The 20,889-nt window shown below is 33.9% G+C and overlaps 1 protein-coding gene across 20 annotated transcripts in view, besides 1 other annotated feature; it reads right to left on the bottom strand.

Moving 5' to 3' along the window:
* The window catches only part of CDH18 (cadherin 18), a 1,104,418-nt gene that overhangs the window by 48,517 nt on the left and 1,035,012 nt on the right, over nt 1-20,889 (bottom strand). For all 20 annotated transcript variants that reach the window (XM_005248228.5, NM_001349562.2, NM_001349556.2 and 17 more), the window contains one exon: nt 845-966. In XM_005248228.5, the coding sequence (XP_005248285.1) occupies nt 845-966 (122 nt within the window). The remainder of the gene's footprint in view (nt 1-844; nt 967-20,889) is intronic.
* Nucleotides 11,307-12,506: an enhancer, noted in NCBI's record as "P300/CBP strongly-dependent group 1 enhancer chr5:19531228-19532427 (GRCh37/hg19 assembly coordinates)". NCBI's record gives its function as "activates an origin of replication core promoter dependent on BRD2, BRD4, P300/CBP, MED14 and CDK7 cofactors, with strong dependence on P300/CBP, by STARR-seq in HCT116 cells {active_cell/tissue: HCT116}" and the evidence as "EXISTENCE:reporter gene assay evidence [ECO:0000049][PMID:35650434]".

Raw genomic sequence — 20,889 nt, forward strand, 5'->3', positions numbered from 1 at the left:
GGGTCTGTATCAGAAAGAAACTGAATGTTCCCAACAGCCCTATGAACTTGGAAGAGATCCCTGAGCCTCGGGCGAGAAAACAGCCCTAGCAGACACCTTGATTATAGTCTTGCGAGACTCTTGCAAAGACCCAGCTAAGCCATGCACAAATTTCTGACCTATAGAAACTGTGAGATAATAAATACATGTTGTTTTAAGTTGCGGATTTTGTATAATTTCTTATACAGCAGAAAAACAAATGCACAACCCCTTTCAGTCTCCTACTTGCTCTATTTGCTATAGGCAACCAGCCTTCCAAATTGCCATGCTTCTTTGACTAGATGCACATGACATCCAGCCTCTTGCCCCATGATCCAGATCCATCTTCACTCTCACCACCCTATTAATACATATATACTCTTCATGTTTCTAAAATTGAATCATCGTTTAGCATCAGCATCACTCAATCATCATTCCTGTGTCACTCCTGCAGATCCTCCAAAATAGAGCTAGTCCCTCTGACACAATCAAGTCCATCAACCTCATTAAGAGAGAAACGTTTGCTATTTCCTCCTCACTTAAAGTAGGGTTGGACATAAAGCATTCAATATCATTTTATTGGTATAATTTGTGCAGCATTCATGAATGAATTCATTTTTCTGAGTTACATTTCGGATCCAAAGAAAATTCAATTGCTTTGATTCTCCAAAAATTATTTGGTACTTAAAATAAAGCTTTATGAAATTATTTCCACTGAGTACAAAATTACACTGTGGGCTTTGGGGGATTATACCTAAGAATAATAAAAATAAAGGCGCTTGCATTTATTCCATTCAAATGAGGAGGAAGGAAACAATTAACTTACCTGGCCAGGCTTAGAATTTTCACATACAATAATATCATATTCCCTGGCAAGTTCGGGTGGATTGTCATTGACATCCAGAACTCTAATACCCACTGTGACATGGCTCAGCAAATCAGGATTATCTGCAAAATACACAGGAATGTATTTAGTATTTCCATGCACACTTTAGAGGCTCGGTTTAAAACAAATCTCTTTAATACTGTAGCTTGTCACTGGTTCCATATGCCATAGCTGGACTTTTGGCAAACGACAACTTTATGAAGGCGCTCTTTGCTAGAACTCATTAACTTACAGGAAAATGAAAAATGAACACCATGGCATGACATGAATGCCAAAATGATATTTTGTCATATCAAGGAAATTACATGTTATCAGGAACTTGAGTGGGAGAAAGTTGTCAGAATTCATTGTATGCTGTCAGAGTCTACAGGATGAACAATTGGTTTCATCATTAATCTAAGAAAAACACAGCAGTTGGTAAAAAATAATTACCTAATCTTTAAAAAAGTTTAATGTTCAAATCTAACTAAACTCAAAGAAAACAAAAAATAAATTTCTTTACACAAAGAATCATTTTCTTATGGCAGAATATATGCAGAGTGTGATGTTAAGTCACGCTCGGGGAAAAATAAATAATAATTGAAATCAAAATTTAGCATGAGATTCATACATGCAATTTACATGTAACTCTCGTAGATATCAAAATATATTCAATAGTTTCAAAAACATCTTAAACTAAGACTTTTTATCTTTTCAGTGGGTTTATTAATTCTGAGATGTAACAAAAACATAAATGTCTGGTATATTTTACAAGTCCAAGCTAGAGATTCAGAATACATAATGAACAAATTAAATCTCTCTGTCTGGCTTTCTCTTTGCTAATGTATCTGTCATTCTCTGAAGCAATTCAAATTTAAATTGTAACAACATACAATACATTAATAATAAGACTAGTAAAAAAGATACAACAATATTGGGAAAAAGGGAATAAATACTTATAGAGAAGTTATTCATGATAGTAAGAAAATAGATGGGTTAAAAAGTGTCAAGTAGCTCTAAAATAAATAGAAAATCTAAGTAGTGCTGTATTAAAGTAACTAGAGAAAATAAATTTTTCAGTAAAAAGTTAATTTTTGCAAAGAGAGAAAAAAATTTGTCCCAGATTTTTTACTTAAAGTAACAGGTAATTACAGTCTACACATTTTTTCCCTAGAAAATATAAGAAAGAGGAAATATTTCAAAATTTTTATTTATTTATTTATTTATTTTGCTTGTGAAACTTTGGAACCAATACTAGACACTACCACTCACGACACATATTAAGTGTCAACTGCCTAAACAAAATAATAGTAAACACACTCCACTGAGTTGTTCTTGATAATTCTTGATCAGTTTTGTCCCAGGAATGTTTGTTTAGCTCAACAAAAAAAGACGGAAGAGGTACAGAAAAGAAGTAAATTTTCATAAAGATACAATAAAAGTTATTCACAAGTTAGTGAATTAAATGAAAGATGATAAAGCATATACATAATCACTCAAGAACATATTAAGAAATACAAAAAATAAAATGCAATATTCATATATTCTAAAAACCATCCAATAAAACAACAAATGACAAGAAAAATTGCATCATACATCATTCTTAATGGTGAAAAATCTAAGAATTAAAGGAACCTATGAATAAATCTAACAAAGTATATGAAAGACCCATATGCAGAATACTTTACTGAATTTCATTAAAAAAGATATAAAGATATTAAGAGCTGTATTACGTCTGCGGTTAAAGAGACAAAATGTCACAAATAAGGACATACCATCCAGATTGATGGTATTTCCAATGTAATCTAATACAAATCCAATGAAAGTTGTTCATAGCAATTGAAAACTGCTTCTAATATTTATAAACACTAAGATAATTCAGACTTGTATGAAGAAGAGGAATAAAGCAGAATTGCACGCCGGGCATGGTGGCTCACGCCTGTAATCCCAGTATTTTGGGAGGCTGAGGTAGGAGGAACACCTGAGGTCAGGAGATCGAGACCAGCCTGGCCAACATGGAGCAACCTCGTCTCTAGTAAAAATACAAAAATTAGCCAGGTGTGTTTGTGCATGCCTGTACTCCCAACTACTGGGGAGGCTGAGGCAGGAGAATCACTTGAACCTGGGAGGCGGAGGCTGCAGCGAGCTGAGCTCACGCCACTGCACTGCAGCCTGAGTGACAGAGTGAGACTCCTTCTCAAAAAAAAAAAAAAAAAAAAAAGGAGAGTTGCTGTACCATTTATCAAGGCTTACTACACTTAACACCCTACGACTATGTCACAGGGATAGACAAACAGAACAGAAACACAAAACAGAACCCAGCCAAAGACCCACTATACATAGAAATTTAATATATGGTGATGATGGCATTACAGATCAATGGTGAACGTACGGGTTAATCAATAAATAGTACAACTTGTTATTCACATAATAATAATAGTAGTAGTAACAATAAGAATAATGACATTGATCTTATGTTACACTTACACAAAAACATGTTTTAAATTATTAAAGACAAGTATATAAGGCAAAATCATACATATTTTGGGAAAAATGGTTAGCATTAATATGTGCACTTAAGTTACATGCACAATTTCAAAACACAAAATTCACTAAAACAAGAAGGAAGAATTGATAAATTTGATTGCACTAAAACATGATTTCTTACTCATTTTCTCCAAATATATCATGAAGAGGAAAAAAATTACAATTTGGGTGAACACATTTGTGGCACACGTAACTGACAAAGGACTTGTATCTGTAATATATAATTTAACATATTGAAACAATTTTAAAAGCCAACACAATATAAAAATAGGCAAATATTAATGGCCAACAGTTAATAGGAGATAATATAAATAAAAAATAAACATGAAAAAAAATCAGTCTCATTAGTATGAAAAAAAGTAGGTTAATCAAAATAAGTTATCACTTAACATAAGCCAGACTAACACAATACTAAGAAGTTTGGCAAGATTTCTCCAAATGCTGGATTGAATATAGACAAAGAAAGGCCTATAAAGTTAACTCATAAGGAATAACTTGTATATTCTCATGCTCTAGATGATGTAATTTCCCTGATTTATACCTATAGGAAAACTCTTGAATATACATACTATCAGTACAATTAATGGCAACAACGACAATAGGAAAATAAAAATATTCAACAACTCCTGAATGGATACAAAACTTTGATGCATTTATATCATACAGAAAATAAATAACAACACAGCCACCATGTGAAGCAATCTTAGAAACAAATTGTTGTTCTCAGAAATGTGTCAGAAGACTGCATTCAAGTATTGTAAAATTTTGTAAAAATAGAAAACAACACGTAAAAGTAAATATTATACTGTAAAACTAATAAGATAATGTTTAGGATAATGCTTTTGTAACTCTAATTCTTAAGTACAGAGATGTGTTAAAATCTGTTTATTATTGTATTTTGCAACATCTTTGTAGATATCAAGAATTACATTATATATATGTTAAAAAGTTATGACATCTTGAAAGTAATATATTAATACCTTCATATATAATTTATATTGGCATAGTTAATAACTGATTATCTACTTATAGTAAAAGATAATATGATGCTTGTATATTATTATATTAATTATATATTATATTGATAAATGAATATATACATTAAATTAAATTACTTGCTTTAAATATATGTTTACTTATCATGAAAATGCTAAAACTTCTTTTAGAAACTAACATTAAATATCACTTTATTTTGTTATTACATTATTTCAAAACTAACATAATAATTAGTCAAAATGCTTATTTTATAAATTATAAAAAATTGAAATTGACACAGTTTAAATGATTTATCTCAGCAAAGGGTTATATTCTACTTCTTTTGACTATTACCACTACATACATATATATTTTCTATTCTACATATCATAAAAGATTTTATGTATTCCTGTATCTCCCAATTTTAAGCAGACAAAAGCAATCTCTTTTAAAAATCTGGGGTAAGAATAATTTTGTAAGCTCTAGTCATAGGTATCAGCAACCTTACTTGTTCCTGAGTAAGTAACTCTCTGCTCTTTTTTTTCTGAGATGGAGTCTCGCTCTGTCGCCCAGGCTGGAGTGCAGTGGCGCGATCTCCGCTCACTACAAGCTCCGCCTCCCGGGTTCACGCCATTCTCCTGCCTCAGCCTCCCGAGTAGCTGGGACTACAGGCGCCCGCCACCACGCCCGGCTAATTTATTGTGTTTTTAGTAGAGACGGGGTTTCACCATGTTAGACAAGATGGTCTCCATCTCCTGACCTCGTGATCCGCCGGCCTCGGTCTCCCAAAGTGCTGGGATTACAGGCGTGAGCCACCGCGCCTGGCCAAATCTCTGCTCTTTTTCTGAAAAGGCAGGGTTAAAAGCAACTCCAGTGAAGTAAGAAACTGTGTTTTCTATGAAAGGATTCTGGAAAAACCATATCTTGAGGAGGAATTTGAATAAAAGAACAAGCAAGCAGTTGACTGCTATCAGCTGTCACCTCTCACTGTCCTACCTCTGCCTTGTTGCAGCTTTCCCCTGGGACTGGAATGTCTTTTCATGCATTCCACACTTGGGCACAGGAAGCTAAATCCTTCTGCTTCAACATAGACTCTGTCCATTATGACCCAATATTACTTTACATCCCTAATGTACAATCACTATTCTGTAACAATGATTAAAAGCATAGCATTTGGGATCAGGGTAATATCAGTTTCGTCTATATACCTACTATCATTCAGTGTCCTGTAGGAAACAGAATTTAATCTTACCTTATTGAGCATGTGACTCATGATACTGCCTGCCCTGTCAGGGGCAACCACAGGAATTACGAAAAACAAAATGTTAGAGTAAATTTAAAGTAATTTCTGGTGCAAATTCAATAACTGCTGTCTGTTACTAAAAGTAGGATGATGTATAAAAATGTGGCTGTGATTTCAGACAATTACGAGTGAAAACTCACTGTCACTTTATAGCCACTCACAGCCTTCTTGCAGCATTCTGGTATTTTATGATATGAGATATTTCTGTAGTTGTGAACTGAAAACTACCCATGGGTCTCTATATATTATTTCTTGTGTCCTTGGGTCAGTATTTTACCCTTTAAATGTCAATCACTCTACCTATAAAATGTAAACCTATTCATGGGATTTACAAGCATTTTGCTAAGGCTAAAATTGGATAATTCCTTAAGACCTTAAAGCACTATTTCTATTATTGTTATTATAATTTTTATATTTATGCTTCATTTCTAGAAAACAATTTTCATATTCTTTTGACAGCAGAGTAAATAAAATATATTGAAATCATGCAAACATAAATATAAATCATATTCTCAGCACTCTTCAGGAGCAGAACTTCAATAAATTATTTGCAATTTATTGATGTGCATTAATTATTTAATTTGTAAGCCTATAATAAGAGTTATTTAACTTGCCAAGTTGTGTTTTTGAGAAACAATTAACGGTAACTATGTCAACTTTATAATACTGAGCCTGGGAAAAAGCAGAATGTACATCTTAATAATTTCTGAATATTAAAATAGAAACAAAGCCAAAATATATGCATGTATTTTCCAGCACCAACTATGCTATATAAAAATCATCTGTGCTTTATGCAACATTAATACAATAGGGACTCATGTCATCAGAGTGCCCCCTCTAGAGATAGTGATACAGAGAAAGTGCTATTGCAGTGCAAGTGGAAGCTGTATGCTACAATATGTAGAAGATCTTTTATAACTTGAGAAACAATACATTTTATCCAGTGATTACTTTTGGAAAGACTGATATGTGCGTAACACTATGATGGGCTCTGGAGAACACAGAACAACAAAATATGCCATTCTTCCAGATTTCCCACTTATGGACATTGAATGGAAAAAATAAATACTAATTTTTTCTTAAATATCATGACTTAAATCTTTAATTTACTTTTAGCCCAAAGCCATTATTATTTAAATATGTGCCACCCAAACAATCTAAATCATGTCTATGAGTGTATGCCTTCTAGGGAATTTGGTAGATTTCTAATCTGATTATTCATATTCGAAAATTAGTATTAAAAATATTTGTCAAATATATAAATAGGTTAATATAATATTGCAGATTATTTTCCTAAAATGTGCTTTTATTGCTTTCATTATGAAAATTCACTCAAAATGAAAAGACTTATCTACTACTATAATAAAAATTTACAGGGAATATGAACTTAAATAATCACATTTATAGCTGTCTAAGTTTCATAAATGCCCATGAGAATAAAGATGGTTTATAAATTGTATTTTTGGTCTGTCTGATTTAGATTTCTATGAAAAGATTTCCTTATAGGAAAATTTAGAACTAAAATTACTCTCATTCTTTTGAATACTTACTGTGGGCTGATGCTGGGACATTTTAACGTGCTTGGTTAATGCTTTGTTTGTTAACAAATATGTTTCCATTATTTTCTTTAATAAACATGTAACAATAAGTTTTGCAAACAGGTGCTCAAATGAAAACAAACTATCCACTTAAGTGTATTTGTTTGATTTGAAATGAGAGTAGTTTTTCCATTGTAAAATCTTGTATATGAAAGTCATATTAAGTTTTAGTTAAAAAAAAGTGAGCTAAATCAATTAATACATATTATAAACTACTTTATAATACTATTAAATCTACTTAAACAATAATTTATATGTAAAACTCTCACAATGTCTGGTACATGCTGGTGCCACTAATATGCTTCTTTTTCTCTTTTTTAAATATATTATTTAAATATCAGTAAAAAAAATCAAATATTGTATTCAAAATAATTTGCTATAATTTATATGAAAGGTGTATATCATATATAATAAATTACTCCTCAAATATCCCTTTACTGTATCCATATAAAAAGTTTTAAAATAAAGCATTCTGTGAATTTTATGCAACAGAATATTAAACCAACTCTGTGTTTAAGGTCTGTTATTTCATAGGAAGGAGCATAACACGTGTAGAAATATTTCAAAAATTACAAAGCATTTAGAAACACATCACATAAAACTTATCCCATATATTTATTCAACTTTTGTCAGTTTACAGTAAGTGCTCTCATTTATTACATAGTTATCATACAAATTCTAGATTGAAGTGAATTATTTAAAATGAATCTTGACTCTTTTCAGTACATTATTTTGTTCCAGTTGCCTATAAATCCTCCAATAATTCCTTATATATATCATTAATATTATTACCTGAGAGTAACAGGAGTTAGAAGCTTTAAAATTAAAGCTGTGCCTTTGCTGTTAGGAATGAACACTTTGTTCCGTTAACCAGAACTACAAAGTCAAAGTAATTTACCTCTAGTTGAAAGTAATTACATTGAGAGAATGTAAGAAATTGTATTGATTATAAAGTAAACGAAAAATATGTATTCTATTCTTGTGAAAATGTCACAATTGGCCCACTCAATTATATAAGAAAATCTACCAAATATAACATTTATTTTCTACTTTTTGTAATAATTCAGTTTTAACATGTTTTTTCTATCTTGGCCTATTTGTGTATAACGCCTGTGAACTTTTCTATCTTTTATCTTTATAGAGTATATAGGATTTACCTTGTGATGAACTTTTATGCTGTCTTTTGCATTTATAATTACAATCATATTTTTAATGCTGCTTAGAACTTTACTAACAAAATGGATTATAAGTTTATTCTTTCTTTTTCTGGGTGTGCAATCTAATTATAATAAAAATTTCCTTATCAGATAGAATCAACATCAAAAATAATAATGTTAATTAAAGCAAAACAGCTACTATGTAAAATAATTAATAAAAATAATGATATATATATTTTAAATGTTTGTATAAATATATTGAAATGCATAATTATTCATCAAACTGCAATCTCTCAATGTAGGAGTATGGACCTAACTCTGAGAACAGATTTGTTGCTGTTCGGGGTTAACACCACCATTCTTGTAAAGATAACACACTGAGTTATTTATGAAGCTATTTATGAAGCCCAAAATTGATTGATTCTAAGTGAGGGAAGAACTTGAAGATTCTTTCAAAACACTAAGCGTGGCAACACTTCTAATTCTATAAAATTACCTGAGATTTTATAATTGCCTAACTGTTCTCCTTAATTGGAACATAATTTTAGCAAATCTCTTTTATGAAGTCTTGGGAAACTTTCAACTTAAAGTACGTTACACAAATTCTGAATCCATTCTGTGCGTATATCCCATTATTTTGTTTAATATTTAAATAAACTACATAATTACAATAAGAAGTTTGACTGGTTTGGAAATAGAACTTAAAAAAAAAATCCACCTTAGTCAGGAAAGAGCAACTGATTAAAACTGGCCTGCCATCACAAAGGATCGTAAAATGGAATAAAATATATAAAAAAGAAAATAGATAATGCTAAGAATGCTCTCTGGGAGAAGAGACTTACATAATCTGAGCCCCAGGACTATCTCAGGCTTTGATAATACATTCATTATGACCAAGTGAGGGATATCCTAGGAAAAGAAGACTGGTTGTTTAACATTTAAAAATCAGTGAATATAATTCACTGCACACATTCAATACACACATAATAAAAGTTAACAAATATGACATTTTTAACAAGAAATAAAGAACACTTAGCAAGTTACAAATAGAAGGAACTTTCTCAACCTGAACAAAACTGTAACTATGATCACCCTTATCAGTGAATACTGAATGCTTTATCCCAAGGATCAGAAATAAACAGAAATGTAAGGATATATGCTCTCAGAACTTCTCCTGAACACTATCTTTAGGGTTATAGTTAGAGTAAATAGTAAAAGAAATAAAAGTGATGTAAATTGCAAAATAAACAAATTTATTATCTATGAAGATTTATTATCTATGAAGATTTATTATGATTATGAAGAAAATACCATATAATATACAAAAAAATAGAATTATTAAAACAGTCTAGCAGTATCACAGGATACAAGTTCGGTATTTACATATATTTCTATCAGAATGAAAGTAAAGGAAGATTTTAACATCTAACTTATATAACATGAATAAACATGAAAACAAATACGTGAAATGTTTGTATGCTGAATTCTACATATGTTGCTTTGAGAAATGTTTAAAAGACCTAGATAACTGAAAACATACTGTGTTTACTCATGGATAAAATGCTCAATGTTGTTCATTGAGGTGTCCATGCTCCCAAATTGAAACTTAGATTCAGTGTAATACCAACCAAAAATCCGATATTGTTGAATAATTTGATAAGCTGATTCTAAAAGTTATATGCAACAAAAACTGTTCTAAAATAACCCAAACAATTTCAAAAAGGAGGAAGAAAAATGTAGGAGAACTCACACTATCTGATTTTGTGTCATTATAAAACTATAGCAATCATAGCACCGTAGTATTAGTATATACATTGTCAGTGGTACCAATGAGAGCCCAGAAATTGATAAATACACAAATGCTCAAGGGTTTATGGACAAACTAGCCATAACAATTAATTGAGAAAATGATAGCATTAAGACAAATGGTGGATCCATTGTAAATTCATATTAAAGAAAATTAAACTTGACTCTTACCACTCATCATATATAAAACATGGCCCAAAGGAAACCATAGATATAAATATAAAACCTCAAAGTTTAAATATATAAAACTAATAAAGGAAATTTTTGTTACCTTTTGTTTGGCAAAGAATTATTCGAAAAAAACACAAAAGAAAAAACATAAAAAAGCCAATAAATTGTAATTTTCTTTTTTTATTTTATTATTATTATACTTTAAGTTTTAGTGTACATGTGCACAATGTGCAGGTTTGTTACATATGTATACATGTGCCATGTTGGTGTGCTGCACCCATTAACTCGTCATTTAGCATTAGGTATATCTCCCAGTGCTATCCCTCCCCCTTCCCCCTACCCCACAACAGTCCCCAGAGTGTGATGTTCCCCTTCCTGTGTCCATGTGTTCTCATTGTTCAATTCCCACCTATGAGTGAGAACATGCGGTGTTTGGCTTTTTGTCCTTGGGATAGTTTGCTGAGAATGATGGTTTCCGGTTTCATCCATGTCCCTACAAAGGACACGAACTCATCATTTTTTATGGCTGCATAGTATTCCATGGTGTATATGTACCATATTTTCTTAATCCAGTCTATCGTTGTTGGACATTTGGCTTGGTTCCAAGTCTTTGCTGTTGTGAATAGTGCCGCAATATACCCTTGCGCTTCTCGAGTGAGGCAATGCCTCGCCCTGCTTCGGCTCGCGCATGGTGTGCTGCACCCACTGTCCTGCACCCACTGTCTGGCACTCCCTAGTGAGATGAACCCGGTACCTCAGATGGAAATGCAGAAATCACCTGTCTTCTGCATCGCTCACGCTGGGAGCTGTAGACCGGAGCTGTTCCTATTTGGCCATCTTGGCTCCACCTCCAATAAATTGTAATTTTCAAGAAAATGTTCTTTGAAAAACTCACTAAATACAGCGTTCATTAAGAAAATGAAAAGATAAGACACAAATATGTGAATATATTCAAAAAAATGAACATCTGATTAACTCATATATCTGCATATATTAAAATCTCAAATTCAAACAATAAAAATCTAAATAACTTTATAAAATTTTGCAAAATCCTGAACAGAAAATCCACCAAAGAAGAAAATGCAGATGGCACATGAAAATATTTTCAACATCATTTCTCTGTGGTGAAATGCAAATAAAAACCACAATAAGATGTCACTACATACTTATTAGAATGACGGGGAAAAATACCCTGGCAACACATGCGGAAGACGTGAAGCAACTGCTGATGGTAATGCAAAGTTGTATAGCCAGTTTGGAAAGCAATTTGGCATGTTTCCATAAACTCGAACATGGTATTTTGTTTGACAATCCCACACCTGGCTATTTACCCAAGACAAGTTAAAATGTGTGTTCTCACACACACACACACACACACACACACACAAACAAAATTGGGCTGGGCACGGTAGCTCACACCTGTAATCCCAGCACTTAGGGAGGCTGGCGTGGGTGGATCAGCTGAGATCAGGAGTTCGAGACCAGTCTGGCCAACATGGTGAAAGCCTGTCTCTATTAAAAACAAATGCAAAAATTAGCCAGGTGTGGCTTCCTGAAAATAATGACTCATAAGCTTGACTCATAAACTTGACTCATTAACGCAAAAGCTTCCTGAAAAGAATGACTCAAAGGTGTCCACAGTATCTACTTGTCATTCTCATTACATTTGAAAAAGGCAAAACTATAGGTAGTTACCAGGACTTGGAGGTGAGAGAAGAGAAATCCCTTTAACTTTTGTGGACGAAGGTTGTGGAAAGTGACTAGATGCCTCTGCAAAATTCATTATACTTTACACATTAAAATGGTAATTTTACTATGTAAATTGCTCTCCATGAAAGCTGACTTGTTAACAAGAGTGATGTATTCTGAGGCATTAAATTTGTAGCCAATGTATTTTTTTGGGTCTTTTTTTTTAAATGTTAGACTTCCATTTGACAACATTTTTCTAATGCATCATTCTAACAAAGTTCTTTCCAATGAACTTTTAGTAACAACATAAACTTTATCAATGTATTGCTTCTATTGAAATACTAAATATTATAAATTATTGAAAATATTCCGCATTTATGCTTGTCACTGGGTTGTTGACACCAAGATGATCTGAAGCAATAGTTAAGAAGTACCTTATACATAATTTCTGATGATTAACATTTTTTTATTTTCATTTCCTTTACCCAGAACTAAGGTGAAAACAGAAGACATTCCTTATCTTTAACTTTCGACAAGATATTTGTATATGTGTGAGTGCCTGGGTTTGTATCTTGGTTCATTCATTATGAGTGTCATATTTTCATTTATTTGGAAGTATTTGATTTGACTTAGTAGTATGTAGTATCACTTATGTTTTAAAAGGAACATTATGACAGCTGGGTGAATAACAAGAAGTCTAAGATTAAGACCCAAAGCCCAAAGGAAGCTAAGGTTAGGACCCAAAGAAAGCTCTTAAAATACCCCAGGTAAGGGGTGAAAGTTGTTCGAACTGCGGTGGAAGTGAGATAAATGATAGGAAATAGTTGACTTATAAATAGTTTTTAAAGGTATAGCTGACAAAAGTTTCCAATGGATTGGATGTGGAACATGAGAGAGAAGAGACAAATGACTGCATGGTTTATATGAGCAATCTGGACTATAGTCATCATTCCAAAGATAGATAAGACATCTGAAGAAGATTGAGGGAGAAATCAGATTTTACAGAGATTTACCTGCAGCATGTCGAGTTTGAGACCTCCAGGAGGAGATATTAAAGTGGCCAATATGGAATTCAGGGGAAAAATAACATTGCAGCTGCAGATTAAAATTTGAGAGCTATCCAATCCATGAGACTGAATGAAATCACCTTGGCAACAACTCAAGATACATTTAAAGTGTAAAACTTGGTGTCTCACAATTCAATACATAGAGAAGCGAGGAGGAACTAAACAGCATGCAGAAAGAAGAGCCAATGAAGGATGGAGTTAATCAAAAGGATATTATGTCCGTAAGCCAAAGAAAGAATCTTTTTCTTGAAAGAGTTGTTAATCGTATCAAATGTTGATGCTTTGTTGAGTAGAGGAATAGGATTAGGCTTTGGATTCTGCAACATGGAGGTTGAGAATGATTGTGCTGAAGTAGCAAAGTCAAGAGTCTTGTTAGAATGGATTTAAAACAGCATGGAAGAAAAGAGAGTACAAACTGTGAACAGAGTAAATTATTTCAAGGAGCTTTTCAGTCAAAAGAATGAGATAACAGAGATGTATTTGGAGGAGAATATTAGATCAACAGATGTTTTCAGGTTTTGTTTGCTTTGCATGAATTAATTTTATTTTCAGATAGAAAATAAAGCATGTTTTTGAGGACAGGGGCATGCTTTAGACAGTGAAAAAGTAAGAATTCAGGAAACAGGATAAAATAGAAAGAGCATTGTCTCACAGCAAACAAATAAGAACAGTATAAGGTCATGTGAAGGAGTGGCCAGAGACTTGGCATGGACAGTGCATTTCAGGAACCTGAAAAAAGCCATATTTACAGATATCAACATCCACTAGCTAGGTTGATATATAGGATGGCACGGGAATATGGAAACCCCTTTCTGATTGCTCTTATTTTATAAGTTTTTGGAGAAGCAATGTTATCTGATACAATACATGTAAAGAAATTGGAAGAGGTATTAGAAATTTAATGAAAGGAAACCTATAAAATAAATATCTAGCAATGCTGTGTAAAATTATTTGAGTGATTTGAAGTTTCTTTTGAATAAAGAAACTTGTTCTAATTGTCTTACAATATGATACTAACACTGGGATATTGCAATTAATAAATCATCAAATGTATTGGCACATTAAGTAAATGTGGTGGATATTGTGATTGTCTCATCAAATTGCTCCTTATTGTGTAGAACCTAAAAGGTATGAAAGGAGTTAACCATGAGCAATAATAAAAATATAGGCCTGATGGTCCTGAGTCAGTGTCCACATGCCTTTCATTTTGTTACAATAATTCATCCACTTATGGACAAATTTCATGTATTAAATACATTTTTAAGGCAGTGAAAGGAGATTAATACATTAAAAAAAAACTGAAAGCAGCAACATTTTTAATGGCTATGTAAAATGACAATTTATCTCCCCAGGTTGTGAATGAGAATGCATGAACCCAACTTTAGCGTCACTCATCTTATTACCATGTTACAAGTTAACATACAATTTGTTACTTGTTACTATAATATAGCAACATGAAGGAAAAAGGTGACGTTAAAAAATTCAGAAGATGAAAAATCAGGGAGAATTGGAGACAGATACCTGATCAAAGCAAACTCATAGCTTAATTTACCTATACACTTTACAGATACATGAGCCAATAAATCTCTTTTAAATTTGAGAACAAATTCAATTATTTTTACTTGTGTGCTTTTTTACATATAAGTAAAAACATTCGAACAAATTCTGGCAGCCACCTCCAAGACGATACCAATTATTCCAGCCTGGTATTCATATCCTTGTATAATGGCTTTCCATATTTAACAAGGTTTTCCATATTTAATAATATTAAATACAATATTGCAGAAGTAACAATGTGTAATTTCTGAGGCTAGGTCATAAAGAAGATGGTTGCCTTCAGGTCACTCATTCTTGGATAACTCACTCTGAGTTGGCCAGCTGCCATGACAATCAAGACACTCAGCAGTCCTATGAAGGAGTCCATGATGTGAAAAACTGAGTTCTTTGCCAAAAACCAGCACCAACTTGCTAGTTATGTAAGTGAGACATGTTGGAAGCATCTCCCTGGGGCCCAGTCACATTTTGAAATAATTACAGCCCTAATCAAAATCTGGGTGACAACCTCTTGAATACCTCTGAACCTGAATAACCCACGTAAGCTGTTCCCTTATTACTGAGCCAAAGAAACTGGGTAACACACTATTGTTTATTGATGTTTTCTGTTACTACATTATGAAGTAATCTGTTATATGGCAATGGATTGATACATATATGTATACACAATATTCCTGAAAAGCATTTTGTTTGATTACTTTTGATCATTGGTTAAGGCAATACTGATTTCTTTCTGTGCTATTCCCTTCGCGAGCTAAGTAAAAGTGCTAATTAGGATCTCTTTGTGTGCTAAGGGAAATTGGTAATACAAACACATTTGTGGAAGACAAATTGCATACATCAAAATAAGCACATTGATAATAATAAAATAATGTTTATAAGCTACAGGGACTTAAAAATACTCACTCCGAGGTGACGGGTTTTTATATTCTTAGATGCAGCTGCTAACCAAAAATAACTTCATATTAAAGGGCAACAAGGAATACACTCACAAACACTAAATTTCATTTCTATTATCTGACATTAACAGTTGGATTACATTTGAAATTTGTGGATTCTAGTCTTTGGATATGTTTGCATGAGAGTCGAGAAAAAAATAACTAAAAAGACTCAATGAATAAAGAAAACACAAACATTGGTTTGTGGACTCTTATGTCCACAAGTGAAAAAGAGAGCTGAAGCAATGTATACAATATGCAATTTTTGTTGTTTCATTTGTAAATTCTGGAAATAGCAGAAGCTTTCAGACACATTGAAAGTTTCAATAAAGTATCATCTCCCAAACTTTGGCTCTTTTGGAAATTTATCTATTATACAAGCAATGAATGATTAGAGTTTCCTTTTGGTGAACTGACCAGGTCAAAGAAATTTTTACATTTAGTGCACAGAACAAGGTTAAATAGGATATTTGCATTAAATGAAGAATAAATTGTGTAGTGAATCATGAAGTTGTTGAGCTGGTATGATGGGTGGAGAAACTAGGAGCAAATTATATTTATGTATTTAACAAAATTTACTAACCACGTTCTATACACCAAGACATTCACTAAGTATTTGACAATACTATGATGAACAAAGATAAGTTAGACCAGATTTCTAAACTTGACATGGTTACAAGCCCATAGAGGTGAAAAAATACTACAATGAAATGCAATAAGTGTTATACTTAATGCATGCAGAACATTTAACTGTGGAAGAAAAGAAACTGTACATTTGTCTAAGTTGTTGAAAAACTTTTACAGTTGTGACATTTGAAACAGTTCTTACCAGTAAATAACTTTGGAAAGCAGAGCAAAATGAAAACAGGTCACTGAAAGATGAAAGGGTTATGAAATTATTGAAAAAACCTGGCCTGTTTGGAGACTATGATGAAAAGCGTAATACACATTTTTCAGAGGATTAAGCTGAAAACAGAGAGGGCTGAGTCTTGTTAAGGAAATTGATACACGTGGAGTTTATTTCTTAGACAATCAGGAAATGTGTACGTATCTCTGTGCATATGTTTGTCATAGGATTGGAACTAAATGGAGCTATGATTTAAATCAAATTGTGGTTAGAAACAATGTTTCTTAACCTTAACTTTACATTGGATTCATATAGGGCAATGGTCCTTAAACTTTAGCATGAATGAGAAACAGATGGAAGGCCTGGTACAACCAGGGTCGCTGGGCCTCAACCACAGAGTGTCTGATTCACTAGATCTGGGCCAAGGCCTGAGGATCTGCATTATTTGTTCCCATGGAACACACTTTGAGAGCTACTGGTTTGGAATGTAAAATGCTGAAGACCTTCTCCAGGAAAAAATGAATCTCAGAATCTCAGATGAGCAGTGGGTATGGCACTCGAGGTGATTCAAAAATATAATGTGTAGTCAGGTTTGAGATCCAGATATTGTGAAAGATCACTCAGATAACGGTGCAAATGATACAGTCTATGGTACTGTGATGGTTAATTTTATGTGTGGACTTGATTGAGCCATGGAGTGCTCAGATATGTATAGTTACACATTATTCTAGGTGTTTTTGGATGAGATTAGCATTTGCATCAGGAGACTGAGTAAAGCAGACAGTCTTTCATATTGTTAGTGGGCCTCATTCAATCAGTTGAAGGCCTGACTAGAACCAAAGTAATTCCCCCCCAGTGACAGAGAATTCTCCTGCTTCACAGTTTTGCATGAGTTTTTCTGGTTCTATAGCAGTCTGCCTGCCTTCAGACTCAAAGTGGGATACAGAGTCTGCAGATTTGGGATGTGATAGCTTCCATAATCATGTGAGCCAATTTTTTATAATAAATCTACCTGTTCCCCCTCTCTCTTTCTCTCTCTCTTTCTCTATTTATCAATCTATTTCCAGATCTCAATATATGTACATATGTAAGTGTGTGTATGTGCACATACACATTACACACACACACACACCCACGCATCCTCCCTATCGCTCTGTTTCTCTGGAGAATCCTAATACACAAATTCAGACACATTTGGAATCAGAAGAGAATATGCAGGGCAACCTTTACTCATCCCTCACCTCAAGACTGAATCCATGCATTATCCTCCCTATGAAACCTTCACTGATCCTCTTAGAGTGATTAAACTACCAGTTTTGTAGCCCCTAAAAAATCTCTCTTATCCCTAAAAAATCCTCTTTCTGCAGTAATTTTCCATAATGCAATTATCTACTTACCTTGTCTTATGAATAACACTCAAATGCCTCAAAGGCAAAATAATATTCTCAATATCCCTGGTGTCTAAAATACCACACTGACTAGCAAGTATCATTTATTAATATATTCTGCATGAGTTAATTGAAAGATACTTTAAGATAAAGATTATAAAGTACCCAATACCAACATACTGGAATAGTAGCTAAAATACAGAAAATTTTAAGAGGTAAAAGAATGATGAACATAGTCAAATGTCACAAAGAAATGACGGAAAGATAAAAGGTAAAAAGTATTGATAGGTTTTGGTTATTAGGCAGTCACTGATGCCTTATTTGTAGTTCCTAACAAAGAGTTGGAATGAAAATATGCATAATATGCATTATACCAGGGACACATAAAGGGAAAATTGCGTGATAGCATGTAAGTTTGAAGGAAAGTTTATTATCCAGTAAGAATCTCATAGCCATTGGAGAAGAGCTCATCCCAGCTGGCACATGATCTCAGCCTTTTGAGACCTTAAGTAGAGAACCCAGTTGAGCCCACCTGGACTTCTGACCTACAGAAATCATATTATTATATGTTACACAACAACAGAAAACTAATTCGAATTACCAAACAGCTGTATTATAGATTGCACAGAGGGAAGATGGTGTTACCCACTGCAGAAATGTTCTGTAGGCCTTTACTTAGAAAGTACTTTTTCCCAAAAACTGTGATATATGATGAGAATACAACACTTTCTAGGTCCCTGACCATACTCATAATGTCATCTTTATCGCACTCATAATGTCATCTTTACATTTGTAAGAGTTAATTTACTTCACAATATAAATTTAAAAAATAAATAACAAAATAAACGTTAGTGAGCTAAAATAACCTGACCAATGATTGGGCTCACCAAACATCAGCTTCCCTACAGGGCCATATTAGAATAAGCACAGATTTAGGGACTGGAATATTTCTATTGATATCTTGTATGACCCTGAAACAAGGCCTACTCACAAGAAGGAAGGAGCACTGTTTTTCCCTTGCCCTCATTCATTCCTAAATCCTACTGCAATGCCTCACCTGCCCAGAGGAGGCACCTTTCTCTTGTTGGCATAAATCCCTAGGTAGCCTTATAAAAGTACTTACAAACATTCACTACTAAATATCACTTCACAAAACAACTGGCTCTTCAGAAACGGTACATTAAGAAGATTTTTAAAAATCCCATTTGAAAAAGTACCAGCTACCCTTCCAAAACAGAATATATTAGAAAATACTTGGGTAGCGTGGTGATGTTGAGGTTAAGGTTGACAAACAATTGTACATGGCAATGTTCCCAATGACATTAACAGGCAATTAAGCCACGGAATCGGTGCATGCATTTCATTTCTAAATACAGTCTCCCAACATGGCTATAAAATCTTTACTAGTGCTCTTTCTTTCTATACACCTGTTTATGATTAGAATTAAATTATATTTTAGTAATGCTCATTGAGGTGTTCTCCAAGGTTGTTTTATTACCACCTAAAAACTCAGAAAATTACAATTTACTGTACTGCTTTACTTCATAGATATAGATTAACTCAAACCCCATATAAAGTACTGCACATAATAAAAATATACCTATATTTTACCAAGTAAATATATAATTAGGATGTTACTTAGTAAAAACAGGAATTTATTTTGGTGATGACTGCAAATAACATAATTTTCATGAATGCATGAACTCATATATATTCATAAACTACATTCTACTTAATTCAAATATTATTTGGAGTGAGGTAGTGAAAAAAAATTAATCTAAAGCATGGCTTCTGATTGAAATGCTTCTGGAGTTGATTCTCTTTTCTGAAGAATTAGCTCAATGCCTTTGTATTAGTCTGTTCTCACACTGCTAATAAGACATATCTGAGGCTGGGGAGGCCTCACAGTCATGGCAGAAGGCAAAGGAGAAGCAAAGTCACATCTTACGTGGCAGCAGGCAAGAGAAAGCCTGTGCAGAACTCCCCTTTATAAAACTATCAGATTTCATGAGACTTATTCACTATGACCAGAACAGCCTGGAAAAGACGAGGTCCATGATTCAATTACCTCCCACCAGCTCCCTCCCACAACATGTGGAAATTATGGGAGCTACAATTCAAGATGAGATTTGTGTGGGGACACACAGCCAAACCATATTATTCCACTCCTGGCCCCTCCCACAACTCATGTCATCACATTTCAAAACCAATCATGTCTTCCCAGCAGTCCTCCAAAGGCTTAACTCATTTCAGCATTAACTCAAAAGTTCACAGTCCAAAGTCTTATCTGAGACAAAGCAAGTCCCTTCTGCTTATGAGCCTGGAAAATCAAAAGCAAATTAGTTACTTCCTAGACACAATGGGGGTCTAGGAATTAAGTAAATATAGCCATTCCAAATGGGAAAAATTGGCCGAAACAAAGGGGCTACAGGTCCCATGCAAGTCTGAAATCCAGCAGGGCAGTCAAATCTTAAAGTTCCAAAATGATCTCCCTTGACTCCATGTCTCACGTCCAGGTCATGCTGATACAAGCCCATGGGCTTGGGCTGGTCCACCCCTGTGGCTTTGCAGGGTACAAGACCCCTCCCAGTTGCTTTCAGGGCTGGCATTGAGTGTCTGTGGCTTTTTAAGGTGTGCAGTGCAACCTGTCAATGGATCTACCATTCTGGGGTCTGGAGGATGTTGGCCCTCTTCTCACAGCTCCACTAGGCAGCGCCCCAGTGGAAACTCTGTGTGGGGGCTTGCACCTCACGTTTCCCTTCTGTACTGCCTTACAGGTCCTCCATGAGGACTCACCCCAGGAGCAAACTTCTGTCTGGGTGTCCAGGGGTTTCCATACATTCTCTGAAATCTAGGAGGAGGTTCCCAAACCTCAATTCTTGACTTCTATCTACCCTCAGGCTCAACACCATGTGGAAGTTGCCAAGGCTTAGTGCTTGCACCCTAGGAAGCCACTGCCCAAGCTA

Source organism: Homo sapiens, chromosome 5, assembly GCF_000001405.40.
Source record: "Homo sapiens chromosome 5, GRCh38.p14 Primary Assembly".
In the NCBI taxonomy this organism is placed as follows: Eukaryota; Metazoa; Chordata; class Mammalia; order Primates; family Hominidae; genus Homo; species Homo sapiens.